General features: G+C 34.7%; 1 protein-coding gene across 11 annotated transcripts in view, besides 1 other annotated feature; it reads left to right on the top strand.

The window, feature by feature from the left end:
- The window catches only part of CD163L1 (CD163 molecule like 1), a 125,386-nt gene that overhangs the window by 68,473 nt on the left and 34,305 nt on the right, over nt 1-22,608 (top strand). For 7 of the 11 annotated variants that reach the window (NM_174941.6, NM_001297650.2, XM_011520617.3 and 4 more), the window contains 10 exons: nt 86-400; nt 758-850; nt 925-1,239; nt 2,041-2,361; nt 6,016-6,324; nt 6,716-6,748; nt 7,484-7,594; nt 8,350-8,445; nt 18,195-18,301; nt 20,551-20,721. In NM_174941.6, coding sequence (NP_777601.3) covers nt 86-400; nt 758-850; nt 925-1,239; nt 2,041-2,361; nt 6,016-6,324; nt 6,716-6,748; nt 7,484-7,594; nt 8,350-8,445; nt 18,195-18,277 — 1,676 coding nt within the window. In that variant the 3' untranslated portion in view covers nt 18,278-18,301; nt 20,551-20,721. Of the gene's footprint in view, nt 1-85; nt 401-757; nt 851-924; nt 1,240-2,040; nt 2,362-6,015; nt 6,325-6,715; nt 6,749-7,483; nt 7,595-8,349; nt 8,446-18,194; nt 18,302-20,550; nt 20,722-22,608 lie in introns of those variants that run through there. The other 4 variants (XR_931282.3, XR_007063068.1, XR_007063067.1 and 1 more) reach the window with 2 other exon arrangements.
- Nucleotides 5,687-6,886: an enhancer, noted in NCBI's record as "P300/CBP strongly-dependent group 1 enhancer chr12:7521391-7522590 (GRCh37/hg19 assembly coordinates)". NCBI's record gives its function as "activates an origin of replication core promoter dependent on BRD2, BRD4, P300/CBP, MED14 and CDK7 cofactors, with strong dependence on P300/CBP, by STARR-seq in HCT116 cells {active_cell/tissue: HCT116}" and the evidence as "EXISTENCE:reporter gene assay evidence [ECO:0000049][PMID:35650434]".

Raw genomic sequence — 22,608 nt, 5'->3', positions numbered from 1 at the left:
TTAATTGGCTGGGGCTAGAGATGGGGAGTTTGGGGCTGGAGCTGATAAGTCATGATGTCTCTTCTATGGCCTTGTCTCCTCCTAGGATATACAGATGTCCGACTTGTGAATGGCAAATCCCAGTGTGACGGGCAAGTGGAGATCAACGTGCTTGGACACTGGGGCTCACTGTGTGACACCCACTGGGACCCAGAAGATGCCCGTGTTCTATGCAGACAGCTCAGCTGTGGGACTGCTCTCTCAACCACAGGAGGAAAATATATTGGAGAAAGAAGTGTTCGTGTGTGGGGACACAGGTTTCATTGCTTAGGGAATGAGTCACTTCTGGATAACTGTCAAATGACAGTTCTTGGAGCACCTCCCTGTATCCATGGAAATACTGTCTCTGTGATCTGCACAGGTAAGAGAATAGTGCTTATGGTTAACTACTGTCAATATAGCCCAGACATGGTAGAGGGAGTTGGGATTAAAGGAAAGATGAGTAAGAAAATGGGGGTGCAGGTGGAGGGGGGATAGGCATGACAGTCAAAGAGTAACATGTAAGAAATAATGATAACTAGGACCATTCCTAAGGGGAAGTTAACACCTCTGTGTTTGGGATTTACGAGTAGACATCATTAATAAAAATGATTTCAATAGACGACAGGGTTTGAAAAGTCCTTATCACAATTGCAGATTCCATGTTGTTACAGAACTCTTCAACCTTTTCCATGTATTTTGGTCTTACTTTTGCCCCATTTCCTGCACCCTCCACCAGGAAGCCTGACCCAGCCACTGTTTCCATGCCTCGCAAATGTATCTGACCCATATTTGTCTGCAGTTCCAGAGGGCAGTGCTTTGATCTGCTTAGGTAAGCAGAATCAGTTTTAGGAAACACTGCAACTCTAAAGAATGTGACCTATTAACTGGACTTTCTCCTCTAAGAGGACAAACGGCTCCGCCTAGTGGATGGGGACAGCCGCTGTGCCGGGAGAGTAGAGATCTATCACGACGGCTTCTGGGGCACCATCTGTGATGACGGCTGGGACCTGAGCGATGCCCACGTGGTGTGTCAAAAGCTGGGCTGTGGAGTGGCCTTCAATGCCACGGTCTCTGCTCACTTTGGGGAGGGGTCAGGGCCCATCTGGCTGGATGACCTGAACTGCACAGGAATGGAGTCCCACTTGTGGCAGTGCCCTTCCCGCGGCTGGGGGCAGCACGACTGCAGGCACAAGGAGGACGCAGGGGTCATCTGCTCAGGTCTGTGCTGCTACCTTTTCACCCTCCTCTACACACACGTGCACACACTTGCACACACACAACACAATTGTAAAGTGTAGTGAAAAGTGTATGGCCTAGGAATACAAACAAAAAATCCACTTGGTTTTAATCCTATTCTCTTATACTGATTTCTTAATACCCTTGTCATATTACATTTGTCTGGGTATCATTCATAACTGAGAAGAATAAAAGATTGGTCTTACTGTCAGAGAATGTTAGACCCCAAGAAAGGGACCTTACATGACATCCACTCTGGCTCTGAGAACACACTGTCAACCGTGTCCAATCTGCCTTATTTTGTTGTTTTGTTTTGTTTTATTTTAGGCTTTTAGTAGCCTGAAGCCATGGTTATTAGTTTCTGTCTCTAGTGGTAAGAGGAAAGAGGGATGAGGAAGGGTCTTTACTAACCTGACCAGAAGCAGAAACTAAGAACCCATAACTGTATCCTCTCCCTTGGACACCCCTGCAAATGAGGTTAACCTCCTGATTATTTTCTGAATTGAATTTATGTTCGAGAGTAGAATGTAGAAGGTTGCATTTTAACTTAAGTTGATACAAATTTAAAGCTCAAATACTATTCTTGGGAAACCCACACTCATCCTGAAATCTTACAAGACCCTTAGTTTCCATCAGATTTATGCTGTTAATATGTTAGAGTGATTTATGAAATTGTATTGTGAGCCCTAATGTATTATTTCCATGGGAAAAATGGATTCCTTGGGGAGGGATTTTCCAACTCCAAAGGAAATATTTAATACTAAGTTTTGTATTTCTCTGTAGAATTCACAGCCTTGAGGCTCTACAGTGAAACTGAAACAGAGAGCTGTGCTGGGAGATTGGAAGTCTTCTATAACGGGACCTGGGGCAGCGTCGGCAGGAGGAACATCACCACAGCCATAGCAGGCATTGTGTGCAGGCAGCTGGGCTGTGGGGAGAATGGAGTTGTCAGCCTCGCCCCTTTATCTAAGACAGGCTCTGGTTTCATGTGGGTGGATGACATTCAGTGTCCTAAAACGCATATCTCCATATGGCAGTGCCTGTCTGCCCCATGGGAGCGAAGAATCTCCAGCCCAGCAGAAGAGACCTGGATCACATGTGAAGGTGGGTATCTTTCTAAACACCAGCTGTCACTGAAGCCCTGTGAAATATAACTTACCATAAATAGCAAATCTTTCCATTCAGGAGCACATGGCAGACTCACTGAAAAGTGCATGACAATAAGTGCTGATTTATCGCATCTGTTCTATATTGAAATTTTATTATTTTGGTTTAGTATTTTACAGGGTATTTAAAAATGTATATTGTCTCTTTTGATTCCTTTAAGCTCCTTGTGAGAAGCTGGATGAAAGCACATAAAAGGATAACAACACATAAAAAATTACAGTGTTTTAAAAAATGAAAAATATAATATGTATACTGTCTTAGAAATTCTAGAAAGCTCAGAACTTTTGAGGAAATGTGAATTAATTATGGAGATTAAGCAGCTCTATTTTTTCCTGCAGAACATTTTACTATGGGAAGTTAGTTGATTATTTATAAGACACTTGTAAATTGTCTTATTTGATTAAAATTTAATATGTTTATTGTAGAGATTTTAGAAATTGTACAATTATAAATAATAAAATGCATTCCACGTTTAATCTGATTATCAAAAATAACCATTACTAATATTCAGAAACATTAACTATTAGTCTTCCTTTTGTACAAAAACTTAAAGTTATGATTGTGTATATGAAATGTGTATATGAAATATAGATACTATATATGTATATGTATATATAGTATGATATATATGCATGTAATGTAGTGTTACACTATATTTAGGATATCTGTATCCTACTTTTATATGTAAAAGTATACTGTAAATATATTCTAATTTCAATGAATAGCCTTCAAATGGCATACAATATTTTATCATGTGAACATAAATAACCATGTGATTATTGGTATTAAGGCTATTTCTCAATGTCAAACTAGTATAAATAATGCCATTATAAGCATCCTTATTCATTTTCGGTGAATCTCTGATTATATCTGAAGGTTATATTTCTAGTCCCAAAATGAGTGGGTAAAATGAGTGAACATTTTTATGATTCTTTATATGTAGTAGTTAATTGCTCCAGCAGAAAGCCTATGTATTAGTTTTCATTCTTATCCCCAGTATATGAGAGCATTGATTTTATTTCACCCTTCCCACCAATGTTACACACAGAGAGAAACATATACACAGACATACACATACCTTCCCAAATTAAAATTTCACCTAAATCAACATAATTTGCATGGGTTTGGTTAGTAGTGGATATGGACATTATTTATGAATATTGTCTGTTTGTGGTTCATATTTTTAAGCATTTTGCTTCTTTTTACTATTGTAATTGTATCACAAAATAATATCATTCCCCAAACAAAAAATTTGAAAAAAACCCAGAAATCATGGAAAAAAACACAGATATCACCTATAATACCATGATCAGTTGATGATATATTAGCTGATATTACACTCTTGAGTATCATATGTGTGTATATATTTTATATATATTCATATATTTTATTGCAAAATGTTATGCTTGCATATTTGTGCTCCCTGCTCTTTTGATTTAGCAATATTTTCTCAAGCTAAAGCATATATATTTTTTACCATATGATATACTATAATCTTATGCACCAAATCCCTGTCATTGGCCATCTAGAAAATTCAAGTTATTTTTCCATTTTAAGTAACATCACATTAAATATCCTTAAATATATAGAAAATTATTTTAAGCATATTTCTCAATATTTTCTTCCCAAAATCTATTTTCCTATTTGATCAATTATATTACCTGAAATTTTGGATTTCAACTATCTTAAGTTTTAATTTATCAATATTTTATATTAAAAATTTGCATCTATATGTATATGAATGATACTATGCAGTAGATCTTATTTAGCGCTCTTTTTATATTTGTTGATATTAGCATTGGAGATTTGTTGAAATATAAACTAGGATGAATTCTGCCAGCTTTTATGATCTTTAATAGTATATGGAATAAAATCATTGTGTTTCAATATTTGAAAGAGAATAACTATAGCTATTTTGGGTAGTAATTTGTTAATACTTAAAAAGAATGTCCAGGACTATTGGCTTATTCTCATTTTCTTGAGTCAATTTTGTGAAAGGATGAAAGAATGTATTAGTCAGTTCTCATGCTGCTAATAAAGAAATACCAGAGACTGGGTAATTTATAAAGGAAGGAGGCTTAATGGACTCACAGTTCCATATGGCTAATGAGGCCTCACAATCATGGCTGAAGGCAAAGGAGGAGCAAAGTCACGTCTTACATGGTGGCAGGCAAAAGAGCATGTGCAGGGGAACTCCCATGTATAAAACCATCAGATCTTGTGAGACTTATTCACTATCACAAGAACAGCACAGGAAAGACCCACCCCTATGATTCAATTACCTCCCACCAGGTCCCCCCCACAACACGTGGGAATTATGGGAGCTACAGTTTGAGATTTGGGTGGGGATACAGCCAAACCATAGCAAAGAAGTAGGATTAAAAACCATACTCTGAATTTATTATTATATAGGCCATTCAATGATGCACTCTGTATTGGTAGGAGGTAGAAGCTAGTCTAAAAGTATTTATTAATGAGCAGGAGATTTACAAAAATGACGAGAAAAAATAAACTCAAGATGTTTGGCTATGAGAGAGAGAAAAGAGTTAACACGGTAACTGGAGAGGGGCTCTTATGACAAGGAGAAAGGAAATTTTTTAAAGGGTGCATGTGAAAGTTATCAGGTTTGAGGACTTGGGGATGACTTATCAGACCGGGGGATGAGACGTTTAGATCAAAAAAACCCTTTTGAATAGAAGCCAAATTACCTAAAAGTTAATTATCTACTGAAACTGTAACTTTTCCTATACTATTACGGGAACTAAAATCCAATAGAGAAATCCCGAGATTCTCTTTTGGTCTTCATGTGGTTGGTGGGCAGAGGTAAGGCAGAGGCTTAGAATATGAAAAAACATTTAACAAAATAATAAAGAATGAAACATAAAAATGATAAGATCATTCTAAAATATTGAGGATCCTGCAGACTTTTTTGGCAGCAAGTTTAAAATGACCCCGGTTATAATTATCTGCAGTGAAACTCAGTATTTCAGGAACCGGCTTAAAGGAGGTAGAGAGTTGGGCTTATCCTGCATTTGTACACAGCCATGTGACGAGAGGTCACTAGTGCCAAAGCATTGTTCATTTGGGAAAGAGAGTGTTTGTAGTTATGATCTTAGTATACATACTTACAGGGAGTAAAGTGAAGGCAAGAAAGGACTGATAATTGGAGGGCACAGAAGCAGCAATGGTCTTATATAGATCAAACTTGAGCCAAATGAACATTAGTTATATTTGGAGAAATTGTGAAAATGAGAGGGGCAAGATAGGATGTTTGGGTCAGATAGGACACTGAAATTTGGAAAATGAAATCAATATGTTTTGTTTTCAAACATCTAGAGTAGAAAATGAATATCTGGTTTGGCCTCGCTGGAGATGTTTCACCCCTTGAGTGTGACTAGGACAAACCACAGTCATGTATAGGGGTTTATTCACTTCACAGGTTCTTGTCTAATCTATGTAACATTGAAATTCTGCCTTCCTTACCACACCCATATTCATCAAGCACATTTGCTACTTTCAAGTTTTTCTACCTCAGCATTCTCCCACAACCTCCTTCAGGAGTAAAGACAGCCATGTTTTGTGCCTTTGTAGATAGAATAAGAGTGCGTGGAGGAGACACCGAGTGCTCTGGGAGAGTGGAGATCTGGCACGCAGGCTCCTGGGGCACAGTGTGTGATGACTCCTGGGACCTGGCCGAGGCGGAAGTGGTGTGTCAGCAGCTGGGCTGTGGCTCTGCTCTGGCTGCCCTGAGGGACGCTTCGTTTGGCCAGGGAACTGGAACCATCTGGTTGGATGACATGCGGTGCAAAGGAAATGAGTCATTTCTATGGGACTGTCACGCCAAACCCTGGGGACAGAGTGACTGTGGACACAAGGAAGATGCTGGCGTGAGGTGCTCTGGTAAGTGTGAAAAGGCTGCACTTAAACTGAGCCTCCCACTAATGGTAGAGAACACTGGGAAACAGGCTCACTCAGAGAGTTGAGCTGAAGATACTAGGATTTCTTGTTGAAGAATGAAAGGCTATGTTAAACTAACGTTTTTCCACAACTAAATAAGATAATGTTCCACTGTTATCTAAAATAGCCCCCATAATTTTGAGGGAAGAAAGGTGGATTTGGCCTTAGACTTTGAAGCAAGAGGATTCTGACTGATATTTTAAATGACATCCAGTATTCACAGGAGATGTTAAAAGGATATTTAAATGACATCCGATAATCGCAGGAGATGTAAAAAGAAATACCCAGTTCCTTTTCGTTCATTTACGTCTCTCTCTCTCTCTCTCTCTCTCAGGACAGTCGCTGAAATCACTGAATGCCTCCTCAGGTATAGTCTTCTGCCTATCAGTGCTGACACAAATACCTAAGGCTACATGGAAGGTCAAGGGAGGGCAGAAACTGCTATGATAATCAAAGAAGACTGGGGACTGCAGAAATATGAGTCTGTGGGTCGCAGCCAGTGGTATCAATAGCTCTGTGACTGCTTTGCTATGCAGTCCTTCTCTCTAGAAAAATCCTTTTTACATGCAGAGAAGGATAAGACTCTCATGGTACCCTCATAGATAATCTTTCTAGATTCTCAAATATTCTTTATGAGACTGGCAGAAACAGCTCAAGCTTCAGGAGAATCACTTAAACCCAGGAAGCAGAGATTGCAGTGAGCCGAGATCGTGCCAGTACACTCAGCCTGGGTGACAGAATGAGACTCCATCTCAAAAAAAAAAAAAAAAGAAAGAAACAGCTCAGCTCAAGCCCTAGTATTTTCTGATTCTGGTGTTTTAGTAGTGAATGCAATGCAAGAGGAAAGGTTTAGTTATCAAATCTCTTGTATAAAATTGGAAGTAATTTAGGGCAATAGAATTATGGAAAGATTTGGATTCAGTTGTTCCAAGATAGTTTTCATCTAAAATAGCTCTCAAAGATTACGTACTGTTCATGAATATGTTGAAATGTATAGCCATTATTCTTCTCAGCAACTAGGGAACCAGTTTTTTTTACAATGTATAAACCCACAATTGATATCTACTAGTTTAATACTTATCAATGCTTAATTTCTATACAGGTCATTTAGCACTTATTTTATCCAGTATCTTTGGGCTCCTTCTCCTGGTTCTGTTTATTCTATTTCTCACGTGGTGCCGAGTTCAGAAACAAAAACATCTGCCCCTCAGAGGTGAGAGCCCCACTAGGATTGTATAAAATGTGAGTTACCTGCCACCAAGGGCACACAGGATGGGGGATTCTTGCAGAATGGAAGAAATGCACTTGCCACTTTGAGTGAGATGGATTGGAAAGTGCCAGGCCAAATGCAGAAACATGTGGAATGATCAAGAATCAGCCAATCCACAATTTCCATTTACACAAATGTAATCTTTTAGAAGCTGTAGCTTGCCATACAGACGATGAGTCAGATAGGCAAATATCTTAGCTGATAGAAGGAAGGTAATTGTATGTTTTGGTTCAGAATCTAGACTGCAGAAATAGCCAATAGAAAATGTAGAAGCATGGTGGAGGATTAAGAACAAGAGTTTCCTGGGTTTGAACACCACTTATATAACTTACTAGCTGTGTGGCCTTTGGCTAGAAACTACCTTTCCAAACTCCAATTTCCTAATTTGTAAAGATAATAATAGTCTTACCTCATCAGGTTAAGATAGTTAAATAAATTAATCATCTGTATGAAAAATGGCCAGCACATAGTAAATACTATGTAAAGAACTTGGTAATAAAAGTGGAAGAATATCAAGGGAGAAAAAGGAGGATAAATTTTAAAAATGTAAAAAATTCACTAGCAGGGGTAGGTGCTGAAAGAGCCATTGGATTTTAGCTCAGAGGGATTAATATGTGTCAAACCTTAGCATTAAGTGTCCTAATATAAGGGATAGGCCATTTGAATTTGAATCCTAACCATGAAGCATCCATTCTCAGTTTCAACCAGAAGGAGGGGTTCTCTCGAGGAGAATTTATTCCATGAGATGGAGACCTGCCTCAAGAGAGAGGACCCACATGGGACAAGAACCTCAGGTCTGTGCAACTCCAGGGGCCGCACTCCATGGAGAGGGTGGGAATATGAGGAAATACCGCTGATATTTAGGAACTCCCACTCGATGGAGATGTGTCTCAGCCTCTTATACAAAATACGCGAAAGGGAAACAAACGGGGAATAGATAAAATAAAATATGACTCAAAATTAAGAAAACTGGAATATACATTCTCACTTATTTCATCCTCAGTGTCATATTTAGTTCATGGCAGAGGCACCAAGCAAAGAAGACTAAAATAAAAAGTATTGTTTCTTCTAATAATCAGTCAAATACCTGGTCCACAGTTTCATTACAAACCCAATAAACAATAATTGTTTTCCAATTTCATTACATTCTATTTTAATATGGTGGCTAAGTTCCTTGAATCTTATCTATATTTGTACATTTATAATTATTTTTAAAATAATTTTATTATGATATACAGTGTGGACAAAACAGTGCATAAAACTCAATCTGTTTTGGAAATAACTTATAATGGAATTACTGTGACAATACAATGAACACCATCTGGCAAAGTGACTTTCCAATAGCTATAACAAATTTTACTCCTCTGAGTTATAAATGAGAATGTATTTTACTGAATAATCACTGATACTAAATAGTTTCATCTTTTATAATGTTGCTAATTTAGTATTTGATAAGTGGCATCTCATTGTTATTTTAATTAACATTGTTTTTAAACTTTGTTTTTGTATTGATGTACATAGTTTCTAGGTACATGTGATAATTTAGTACATTCATATAATTTGTAAAGATCAAATTAGTAAAATTGGGATATCTGTCACTTCAAATATTTGTCTTTTTATTATACCAGAAACATCTGAATTATTCTCTTCTAGCTATTTTGAAATATGTATAGATTATTGTAAATTATAGTCACCTTATTGATTTATCAAACACTAGGTTTTATTTCTTACAATTGTATATTTGTACTCAATCAACCTCTCTTTATCCTCCCTTTCCCCTACCCTTTCCGGCCTCTGATAACCACCAATCTACACTCTATCTTAATGGTATCAACATTTTTAGCTCCCACATATGAATGAGAACATGGATATTTGTCTTTCTGTGCTTGGCTTATTTCACTTAACATAATGACCTCTAGTTCCACCATGTTACTACATATAACATGATTTCATTTTTTATGGCTAAAAATGTGTGCGTATATATACCACATATTCTTACCCATTCATTCATCAAGGGACACTTAGGCTGCTTCCATATTTTGGCTATTATAAATAGTGCTGCAATAAACATGGTGCAGCTATCACTTTGATATATAATTTTCTTTCTTTTGGATATATACCCAGAAGTGGAATTGCTGAATTGTATAGTAATACTATCTTTAGTTTTTTGAGGCAAATCCATACAGTTTTCCATAATGACTATCCTAATTTATATTCCTGTCAATGGTGTATGAGGGTTCTCCTTTCTTCATATCCTTGCCAGCATCCATTATTTCCTGTCTTTTTGATAAAAGCCATTCTGCCTGAGGTATGATGATATCTCATTTTCTTTTTGAGTTATGTTTCTCTGATTATTAGTGTTGTTGAGCATTTATTTACATATTGGCCATTTGTATGTCTTCTTTTGAGAAATGTCTATTCAGTTCTTTCACCCATTTTTTAAAATCAGATTAGTTGGTTTTTTTCTATTGAGTTGTCTGAGCTCTATATATTTAGATTATTAACCCGTTATTAGTTGGATAGTTTAAAAATATTTCTCCCACTCTGTGGGTTGTCTCTTCACTTTGTTGATTGTTTCCTTTGCTGGCAGAAGATTTTTGATTGATATAATCCCATTTGTCTATATTTTTGCTTTGGTGGCCTGTGCTTTTGAGGTCTTACCCAAAAATCTTTGCCCAGACCAATATCCTGGAGTGTTTCCCAGTGTTTTCTTCTAATTGTTTCATAGTTTCAGGTCTTACATTTAGTTATTCAATCTGTTTTTATTTGGTGTTTTATATGGTATGAGATAGAGTCTAGTTTCATTCTTGTGCATGTGGTTATCCAGTTTTCCCAGTGCCATTTATTGAAGAGACTGTCTTTTCCCAATGTATGTCCTTGGTGTATTTGCAGAGAGTGGCTTGGCTATAAATGCATGGATTTATATCTGGGTTCTCTATTCTGTTCCACTGGTTTATGTGTCTGTTTTAGTACCATGCTGATTTGGTTACTATAATTTTGTAGTATATTTTGAAGTCAGGTAATGCGATGCCTCCAACTATGTTCTTTTGCTCAGAATAGCTTTGGCTATTGGGGGCCCTCTGTTGTTCCATCTAAAATTTATGATTGTTATCTCTATTTCTGTGAAAAATGTCATTAGTGTTTTCAAAGAGATTGCGTTGAATCCGTAAATTGCTTTGGGTATTTAACAATATTAATTCTTTCCATCTATGAGCATGAAATATACTTCTTTTTTTTTGTCCTCTTCTATTTCTTTCATCAGTGTTTTATAGTTTTCTTTGTATACATCTTTCACTTCTTGGTTAAATTGATTCCTAAGTATTTTATATTCTTTATAGCTATTGCAAATTGGATTGCTTTTTGATTTCTTTTTCAGGTTATTTGCTATTGGGTTATATAAATGCTACTGATTTTTATATGTTGATTTTGTATTCTGTAACTTTACTGAATGTATTTATTAGTTCTCACAGTTTTCTGGTGGAGTCTTTAGATTTTTCTAACTATAAAACCATATTGTCTGCAAAGAAGGCTAACTTGACCTCTTTCTTTCCAACTAGGATGCCCCATATGTCTTTCTCTTGCCTAATTGCTCTGGCTGGGACTTCCAGTATTATGTTGAATAAATGTGAAGAAAATGGACATCTTTGCCTTGTTGCACATTTTGCAGGAAATGTTTTCTATTTTTCCCCATTTAGTATCATATTAGCTGTGGATTTGTCATACATAGCCTTTATTATGTTGAAGTATGATCCTTCTATACCCAGTATGTTGAGGCTTTTCATTATAAAACGATGTTGAATTTTATGAATGATTTTTTAGCATCTATTGGCATGATCATATGGGTTTTGTTCTTGATTCTGTTAATGTGATATATCACTTTTTTATTGATTTGCTCATGTTGAACAATCTTTGCATCCCTGGAATGAATTTCACTTGATTGTGGTGAAAAATCTTTTAATCTGTTGTTGAATTTAGTCTGCTAGTATTTTGGTGAGGATTTTTACATTTTTGTTCATCAGTGACATTGGCCTGGAGTCTTCTTTCTTTGTTGTTTCATTGTCTGGTTTTGGTATCAGGGTAATGCTGGCCCTATAAAATGAGTTTAGAAGTGTTCTCTCCTCTTCAATTTCATTAAGAGTTTGAATAAAATTAGCATTAGTTCTTCTTTAAATGGTTGGTAGAACTCAGCAGTGAAGCATCAGGTCCTGGGGTTTTCTTTAGTGAGAGGTTTTTTTTTTTCTTATTATTATTATGGCTTTGATCTCATGACTTGTTATTGATTTGTTGAACTTTTCTATTTTTTCATGGCACGGTGTTGGTAGGTTTGTATATGACTAGAAATATATCAGTTTCTTCTAAGTTTTCCAAATTGTTGGTCTATAGTTGTTCATAATATTTTTAAATGATTCTTTGTATTTCTGTGGTCTCAATTGTTATGTCTACCTTTTCATTTCTGATTTTATTTATTTGAGTTTTCTCTCTTTTTACTTAGTCCAGCTAAAGGTTTATCAATTTGGTTTATCTTTCCAAAAAATCAACTTTTTAATCTTGTTGCTCCTTTGTAGATTTTAAGTCTCAATTTAATTTATTTCTCTGATTATTATTATTATTTCTTTTTATCTACTAATTTGGGGTTTGGTTTGTTCTTTCTTTTTTTGTTCCTTGAGGTGCACCATTAGCCTCTTTATTTGTAGTCTTTCTACTTGTTTTTTTTCCTTTTTAAGATGGAGTCTCACTCTGTCACCCATGCTAGAGTGCAGGGGTACAATCTCGGCTAACTGCGACCTCCGCCTCCTGGGTTCAAGCAAATCTCCTGCCTCAAACTCCAGAGCAGCTAGGATTACAGGCACATGACACCATGCCTGGCTAATATTTTTTTGTATTTTTAGTAGACATGGGGTTTCACTATGTTGGTCGGGCTGGTCTCTATCTACTTTTTGATATGGGTGTTTACTGCTATAAACGTCCCTCTTAGTACTGTTATTTCGTGTATATTTTTGTTTTTTGCTGTATCCCATATATTTCAGTATGTTGTGTTTTCATTTCCATTTTTTTAAAAAATCTCTTAATTTTCTTAATTTCTTTATTTCCTTTTCATGGCTGAGTAGTATTCCATGGCATATATATACCACATTTTCTTTATCCACTTGTTGATTGGGCTGGTTTTGCAATTGCAAATTGTGCTGTTATAAAAATGCATGTGCAAATGTCTTTTTCATAAAATGACTTCTTTTCCTCTGGGTAGACACCCAGTAGGAGGATTGCTGGATCAAATGGTAGATCTACTTTTACCATTATGTTATATATTATTATATATTAATATTATATGTTATAGTATAATTATATTAATATAAATCATATATTATATTAGAATTATATAATTTTATATTATATATATTTATATTTATACTATATTATAATAAGCTATAAATTTATATTATATTAATATGATATGCTATAAATTACATGATATTAATATAATATATTATATATTTATACATAGTTATGTAATAACTATTAATTTAATATATTAATTAATATATACTATCTTACAGAATAAATTATTAGAATAATGTAATAACACATAATTATATATGGTATATGATATAAATAACATACTATATAATTATCTATAATTGTAATTATATGTTATATAATATATATTTAATATATTTATATTATAATATATTTCATATTTTATTTTATATAATTTAATATAATTATATAGTATAATTACTATATAATCTATAATATATAAGTAATATATTAAATACATAATCTATAACATAAGTAATATATAATATAAAAATAATACATATGATATATTATATATGTTATATATGTATAATTTATATAAGTAATATATAATATATAAAAATAATATATAGTATATATAATATACAAGTGTACCTTATATATATAAATATTCCATTTTACATGTATGTGTATATATACAATGGAATGTAGATGAACTTTAGGGATATTATGCTAAGTGAAATAAGTCAGCCGGAAAAAGATAAATACTACATGATTCACTTTATAAGAGGTACATAGAGCAATCAAATTCATATAAACAGAAAGTAGAATGGTAGTTTCCAGGGGCTGGAGGAGGGAGAATGGGGAGTTATTCTTTAATTAGTATAGAGTTTCATTTTGCAAGATAAAAAGAATTTTGGAGATAGATGGTGGTAACGGTTGCACAAAAAACTGAATGTATTTCATTTCACCAAATCGTACACTTAAAAAAAATCTTGGGACTCTGAAAAGTAAATAACACATTGAAAAGAAATGTCAAACTGAGGAAAGACTATTGTGATCGTGATGGTAAATTTTCTGTTTGTTTGTGTTTTTTTCTTCCTGGACTCCTAAAAAAGCCCATCTTTCTGGCCAGAGGACAGGGGAAGGGAAATCCAGGGAATACGGGGAATCTTCCTATTTTTTAGTTTGCTGTCTTCACCCTAGCCCTAGTCCAGTTTCAAAAGCATATCTGCCCTGCTACAGCCAATGTGGCACAGGCAACTAAGTTTGAGAGAAGACTTACTTCTCTGAATAGCAGAGCATGAAAGAATGACCCCTGTTATGCAAATAGTTTGGGGAAAATCCTCATTCTCTTTTCTCTTATTACTTCCTAGTCATGTGAACCTTTACTGCAGTATGAGAAAATAAAACTGTGAGATAACCCATTTATTTTCTTGCCAGAGAAAATAGAAAAAGAAGCCACTGGAAGCTAGAGAACATAGAGGAAATCACATAGAGGGAGGATCTGGAGAAGAGGTCTTGAAGTAATACAAGTACCAGGTTTACCTTTTAGCTGCAATTATGCAGAACATACACAATGAAGCATAGCAAAGTCTTTGAGAAATGAATGAAAATATATATATACTACTCAAATCCCAGAACAACTCATATTGGTACATACAAAAAGCATACCCAAACAGAATAGCAAAGTCTTTGAGAACTGAATTGACACTAAATAAACCACCAGAGATGGTAAGACAGAACTTGCAATCTGAACCTAACTGGGTTGATCACTTGCTAAATCAAGACAAAACAAAACAAAACAAAGCAAAACCAAAACCAAAAACCCACTTTCTCCAAAGTGTTTTAACAAAACTTTTGTAAGACTCAGAAGTCTTACAACAAAATATTCAAAATATCCAACATACGAACCAAAATTATCCAACATACAAACAACCAGGAGTATCTAATCAATTCTCATGGAATAGACAACCAGCAGTTGCCAATCTACATTAAACAGAGGTTGGATTATCATACAAAGACTGTAACAGCATGAAAGCTATTATAGCCATATTCTATGAGGCAAAGGCAAACTTTCCAGAAACTAATGGAGAAATCTTTTCAGGAAAGAAGCAATCCCATGGAAATTCAAAAATTAAAAATATCAGTATCTGAAAATTTTTCAAAAAATCACTGGATTGCCTCAACAACAGAAAGGAGATAACAGAAAAAAATCAGTGAACTTCAAGATAGACCAGTGGAAATTATTCAATAAAATAGAGAGGAAAAAGATACCTTAAAAATGGGAAGAGAGGAATCCATGGGAATATATCAAAAGATATACATACTGGTGGTGTGTGGTGGCTCATGCCTGTAATCCCAGCACTTTGGGAAGCCGAGGTGGGTGGATCACCTGAGGTCAGGTGTTTGAGACCAGCCTGGCTAACATGGTGAAACCTCATCTCTACTAAAAATACAAAAATTAGATGGGTGTGTTAGTGGGCACCTGTAATCCCACTTACTTGGGAGGCTGAGGCAGGAGAATTGCTTGAACTTGGAAGGCAGAGTCTGCAGTGAGCCGAAATCGCACCATTGCACTCCAGCCTGGGTGACAAGAGCGAAACTCCATCTGAAAAGAAAAAAAAAAGATGTACATATCATTGGAGTGTTAGGAAAGAAGAGAAGTTAGACATGGTGCAGGAATTTTTTTTAAAGAAATATTGGCTGAAAACTTCACAAATTTGTTGAAAGACATGAATTCCTAGATTTAAGAAGCTTAGCAAACACCAAACTAAATATATACATTCCCAGACACATCATGCTCAAATTACTGAAAATCAAACACAAAGGAAAAATATCAAAAGCAAGGAGACAAAAGTGACACATTGTGTTTAGAGGAACAACAATTAAAATGAATACAGATTTCTAAAGGGGTCAGGAAACAATTAAACAAAGTCTTTAAAGTGCTAAATGAAAAGAACTGTCAATCCAGAATTCTATATCCAGAAAAAATAACTTTCAGGAATGAAGATGAGCAAATTTATCTGTTAGATCAAATAAGAGTAAAAATTTTTTAAAGAGTTTTATTTTACCTGTATTTATTTCTTCTCTAATGCTTCCCTTTTCTTTTCGTAGATCAGAGCTTCTGAACTATATCATTTTCTTTCTTTCTGAAGAATTTCTTGTATAATTTTTTGCAAGGTGACTGTAATGGCAACAAATAACCTCAATTTTTATTTGTCTGAGAAAATCTTTTATTTCTCATTCACTTTTGAAGGATACTTTCCCCTGAATACAGAATTCTAAGTTGATGGTTCTTTTTTTCACACTAAATATTATACTCCCTCTTTTTGCTAGCATATCTTTTGAAGAGAAGTTCAATGTAATTCTTACCTTGCTCCTCTATAGACAATTTTTTTCCTCTGGCTTCTTTTAATATTTTTTATTTGTCTTTGATTTTCTGCAGTTGGAATATGAATGCCTAAATTCCGGGGTTTTTTGTTTGTTTGTTTTGTTTTTTTGGCATTTATTCTGCTTGGTGTTCTTTGTGCTGCCTGGATAAGTGCTTTGGTTTCTGTCATTAGTTGTGAGAAATCCTGTCATTATTGCTTCAAATATTTTTCTGCTTGTTTCTCACCTTTTTCTCCTTCTAGCATTCCTATTGTATGTCTGTTACATCTTTTGTAGTTCTTTCACAATTTTTGGATATTCTGTTCTGTCTTTTTTATTCTTTTCTCTTTGCATTTAAGTTTTTGAAGTTTCCATTAATGTTTCTTCAAGCTCACTGATTTTTTTTTCCTCAGCTGTGTCCAGTCCATTGATGAGCCCTTAAAAGACATGCTTCGTTTCTATTACAGTGTTGTTGATGTCTTGCATTTTTAATTCTTTCTTTGAACTTCCATCTCTGTGCCTACATTGCTCATATGTTCTTGCAGGTTGTCCTCTTTTTCCTTTAGATCCCATAACACATTAATCCTAGTTGTTTTAAAGTTCTGGTGTGATCATTTCAACATCTCTCTCACATCTGAGTCTGGTCTGATGCTTGCTGTCTCTTCAGACTCTGTTTTTTGTCTTTCAGTGTGCCTTGTAATTATTTTGTAGAAAGTCAGACATGATATATAGTGGACACAAAGAATTGAGGTAAAGAGAGTGTTGGTGTAAGGTTTTATATTTATCTGGCGAGGGATTAAGCTGTATTTATTGTTTGCTGTAGCTGTAGGTGTCAGAGGCTAATATTTCTTCTGGTGCCCTTGTTTTAGTCTCCCCTGTTGTCATTGGGGCTCCCTAGTGAGTTCTTAAATAAGATCTTTGGTGTGCAATTTTAACCATTGTATTCCCTGGTATTTTATAGGAACCCTACTGAAGTGTTCTTCATTAAGAAGAACACAATATTTTATATGTACTTCAAAATGACTACTTTCCCCTCCTCCTGATAGAAAGCACAGAATGATTTTGCTCCAGTCTTCACTGTGATAACTTGGTAGGGCTTCTAAAGGTAAAACAAAAATGTAGGTCCACTGGAGTTTTTAACACTGAAACTTTTCCACTCTGAGCCTACAGCAATTTGTCAATTACAGTTTAGATTTCCCTACCCCATTACTGATTTCCACAGTGGTTTCTGCTCTATAAGTTGCAATTCTCTGTCTCTGCCTGTCTGTCTCTCCAATTTTGGTGGTAGTGGTTTGCCCTATGACATCAGTTCTTTGATGGACCTAAGAAGAGTTGTTGATTTTCAGTTTATTCACCTTTTTTCTTGTTATGCGATTGGGAGTAATGACTCCCAAGCTTCTTACAGGCTTCATGGGAAACTAGAAGTTCAAATAATTACTCTTAAAAGATGCAGTCATATTCAACCTTCTTGAAATTTAGTTATCTACATTTCTCTATCCACAGACAACAATTCTTTATTTCTCTCAATCCTGCCAAAAATGGAACAATTCCCTAAATATAATTTTTAGTACTCTCCTATCTTTAGACAATGATGCTTACCATTGAGTTTTACTTGTCCCATTTTTAAAATCAAAATATAAATATCACAATTCTAGGCTTTTAAGATACTGGAAGCAAATCTGATAATCTGATAAAAAGTTGTATTATTTGTTTTGGTAACACTTAATGGTTTATCCTTTTAAATATGATAATTATTTTACTTCAAAACGATAACTAAGCGTGCTCTTAATTTATGTAATAGTCACCTCTTGCTCTATTATACTTTCCCAGCTGATCAAACACTGCACTTAACAGCTCTTCCCTCTGCAGAGAGGTTTTCTACTATTCAATAATACAGATTTTGCCTTTCTTTCAGATGACACCCCCAACCATGGTTGTGAAGATGCTAGCGACACATCGCTGTTGGGAGTTCTTCCTGCCTCTGAAGCCACAAAATGACTTTAGACTTCCAGGGCTCACCAGGTAAGTTGAGAAGTATTGTTCCTACTAAAACTAGTAATTTAATCTCCCACTGTCGCAGAATTAAATACATTTTTTCCAATATTTATATTACCATATATTATGTCACTGGTTCATATCCCCAGTATTTCAAATATTCTATGTTAACCTCTGGAAAAGAGAGAGGTTGATGAGAAAGTTGTTCCTATAGAAAATTTACAGAGTTTATCAGAATTGGTTTTGAGCATTGGCTGATGCTGCAGATAGTCTGTCACTAAGGAAGAGGTTGATTACATCTCAGCTTCACATACTGCTCATTGATAACCTCCATTCCTAGGATTTCTGTTCATTTTTGTTACACAGAGTAGGATGTTCACATTTATTCTCTTAAGTACAGACTAGATTCCGTGCATTAATATCACTCCTTATTGCTTTAATCGCCAGTGCCTGACAGATGATACATGCTTTATATTTATTAAACGTAGGTGGCTTTGTCTGATGAGAAAACATTAACGTAATAGCAGTGAAATCATTCTCTAAAGGTTTAGAAAAACAAGCACTCGTTATATAATAATGTTGCATTGAGGCAGTTCTAAAACACTTACTGGTGCCAGGACAAATAACTAAAATCAAAGTCAACTAGAAAATCCAGCACAAAAGGAACAGTGCTTTCTCTCAGTTAGAGTGGATGGTCCAAATATGATGGAGAGAAAAATTGAACTCAATGAAGTCAAAGGACTAGAAAGCACTGTGCTTTCTAAATAATGTTGAAAACACTTTTTAATTCCTAGCATGAATGAGCTAGCAATTCTGAAAACAGCATTTCTGCGTAGCCCAAAGATAATTCTAAATTTTTTATGGGAATAAATGCCAGGGAGCAAAGATAAGTCATATCTCCTGATTTTTATTATGGAATATCTAGACATCACCAACACAAAACTATTTCAAATTTGACCCAGTGATCCAAGTGAATGGGCTTGAGTTTCTCCGTTTTTTCTCAAAAATATATTATTACCATAATAACAAAAAAAGTTAGAAAAACCAGAGGCAAAGTACACAAAAACCATTTAGATAATAACTAGCTCCAACATAATTTAATGGTAACTCTTCTAATACCAAGACTTATATTTATGATTGAAGCCTTTTTCCTCTTTATATGCTATTGATAATTTCTCTATTTGGAAAAGTTCATTGAAAAACTTAAATTAAAATGTATCCTAAAGTGTATCTTATGTGTTTTCATCTGCATGATATAAGGAACAAATGATTGAGTCTGTATTATTCTAAACCAATTTTAATAAATACTAATTTATATTAGCACAATTTTTGTTTGCCAATGAATACTATGTGTTGTTTTTAAAGTACTTGAAATTAGGGTTCTATATTAGAAAAGATTTTCCCTCAGCAGTTATTATTGTGCTTAGTGTATTAGTTTTCTAGGGCTGCCAAAAGAAAATACCACAGACTGGGCAGCTTAAACAATGGAAATTTGTTTTCTCACAATTCTGGATGCCAGAAGTCCATGATCAAGATATTGGGAGGTTTGATTTCTTCTGAGGCCTCCTTCCTTCCCTTGCAGGCAGTCATCTTCTTGTTATGCCCTCAGATGGTCATCCCTTGGTCTGTGTTGTCTGTGATCTAATTTCTTCTTGTAAGGACACCAGTCATACTGGATTAGGGCTCACCCATGTGACCTCATTTTACCTTAATTACCTCTTTGAAGGTCCAATCTTCAAATACAATCACATCCTGAGGAACTAGGGGTTAAGACTTGAACATATGAATTTGGGGGGACCCAATTCAGCTCATAACACTGAGCAAGTCTATTATTCTATGATACAAAAAAACCTACTTTTGTTCTGTCTAAACCTCATTAATCATCAATTCTGACTTAGCAGAATCCATACTAAAAACTTTTGAAAGATTAATTTCCAGAGGTGTTCCAAAAACCAAAACCATATGTAATCATACCTTCCTTTTTAATTTTGGTGTTATTTAACACTCTTTTTCTTTGATAAGTAAATTATTACATTCTGAGACTCAGAATTCTAGACTATGGGAGCAGAAAGAAAATTGCATAATATCTGCATATGCACAAAAAAGAAATATTAATACATAGCACCTACTAAATCTGTCCTAATTGATCAATTCTTTGTGGGTTGTGTGTGTGTTTGTGTGTGCACACACACACGTGTCTTAACTTTAACCTCATGTAGGCTAGCATTCTTATTTAGAAGAATAGTAACTTGTTGCCTCTTGTTTTATAATTTCAGATCAACCTCTAAATATCTTTGAAGGAGACAACAACTTTTAAATGAATAAAGAGGAAGTCAAGTTGCCCTATGGAAAACTTGTCCAAATAACATTTCTTGAACAATAGGAGAACAGCTAAATTGATAAAGACTGGTGATAATAAAAATTGAATTATGTATATCACTGTTAAATGGACTGAATGTTTGTGTTTTCCTTTGCCCCTCGCAAAAAAAAATTTGTATGTTGAAATCCTAACTGCCAATGTAATGGTATTAGGAAGTGGAGTTTTGGGGAGGTAATCATGTCGTGAGGGTGAAGCCCTCATGAATGGGATTAGTGCCCGTAATAATGGAACCTCAGAGGCTCTGTCACTGTCCTTCCCTTATGTGAGTGTACAGTGGGAAGTCAGCAGTCTACAACTTGGCAGGGAGCCCTCATCAGATCTGAATCATGCTGGCACCCTGATCTCAGGTTTATAACTTCCCAAACTGTGAGGGAAAAAAATTCTGTTGTTTATATGCCACCCAGTTTATAGTATTCTCTTACAGCAGCCCAAACTCAGACAATCACTAACTGAAAAACCACTCCATACGTATCCTACTCCTACTTCTGCTGAACAATGAAAAACATTATTTGAGGCTGACTTATGGCTGTTCTTGTAGTTCAAATTAGTGTAATTCCATAGATATTTGAATGTAGAAAGCATTTTCAAAATTGAATGTCAGAATAGTTGTCTTCATTTTTATCCCTGATAGATTTATTCATGACAGCTTTGCTCAATTGCCCTTGCTTCTAACTTGGCTTCCTCAGATTTTGAACATATTGTTGTTCCTATAGGAATTATAACACATATAGTAACAAGTATCTACCACAATAGTAAAATAATTTTTTTAAAAATCAGTAGGCTTCATGGAGCTGTTACAAGAGATGTAAAACAAACAAAAAAAAGAAGCCTAGGTGATTAGAAAAGACATTTTTAAATCTTTAAGACCCTAAATAAGCTTTATTCATTTAGGGTCTCTGCTCTCAAAGAGTTGGAAATCCTAAAAATCAGGAGACTTTAGTTCACAAATCTGGTAAGAAAGGATAATTAGTCCCATGCCAAGAAAAGCTTGTTTTGAAGGCTTCTTCTCAAGAGTTAGCAAGATTTTAGATTGTACTTCAAATATTGGGGCCTCTCTTTGCAATATGTTTGCAGTATATATTATGAGGAAATGTAGTAGAGAGTTTAACGATTAAAATTTAATCCTAGCCAATTAATATATATTTCATTAATATTGCTGTACTGCAGTAAAATTATTACAGATACCTACACTAAAATAAAGAGCCATCCCTATTTCTATGTTTAGAAAGTTTAAGTTTTTATTATAACATAAATACATGTTAAAAAATATTGAAAGAACAATAATAAATATGAAAAAGTCTATCATTCTGAAATAAGCACTGTTAACATTTTGGAATGTTTCTGTCACTCTTTTGTCTGTCCTCTCTCTTGTGTATACATGCATGAAATTATTCACCTACATAAAATAAAGATTATTCATTCTTATTACATTATTTTTTAAACTTCCATTAAATGCAACATTAATCATATTGTTGTTTTCTTGTACGTGATGAATCATTTTTCTCTTACTGCTTCCAAGATTTTCTCCTTGTCCCTGTCTTTCAACAGCTTGATGGTATCTAGATAAGGATTTCTTTGTGTTTGTCTTCCTTAAGTTTCATTGGATTATTTGGATTTTCAAATTAATATGCAAATCTGAGACATTTTCAACTGTTATTTTTTTCAAATATTTTTCTACCTCTTTCTCTATTCTTCTGTGCCTCATGCTGATATACAAGCTCTGTTACTTTTTCTGCAGTATTTTTTTCCAAGTTCTTAAGACGGATCATTTATATTAAACTACAAATTTACCGATTTTTTTCTCTTCTGGAATTTTAAAGTTACTATTTAGCCTTTTTATAAACTTATCATTTCATTTATTTCATGTTACGACTCAAGAATTCCTATTGATTTCTTTTTACAGATTTTATTTCTTCTTCTTTGTTAAGCCATTGTCGTTAGATTTTTCTTTAAT

The sequence above is a fragment of the Homo sapiens genome, chromosome 12, assembly GCF_000001405.40.
Source record: "Homo sapiens chromosome 12, GRCh38.p14 Primary Assembly".
Lineage (NCBI taxonomy): Eukaryota > Metazoa > Chordata > Mammalia > Primates > Hominidae > Homo > Homo sapiens.
The sequence above is the reverse complement of the archived record's forward strand: the minus strand, read 5'-3'. Positions and strand labels throughout refer to the sequence as shown.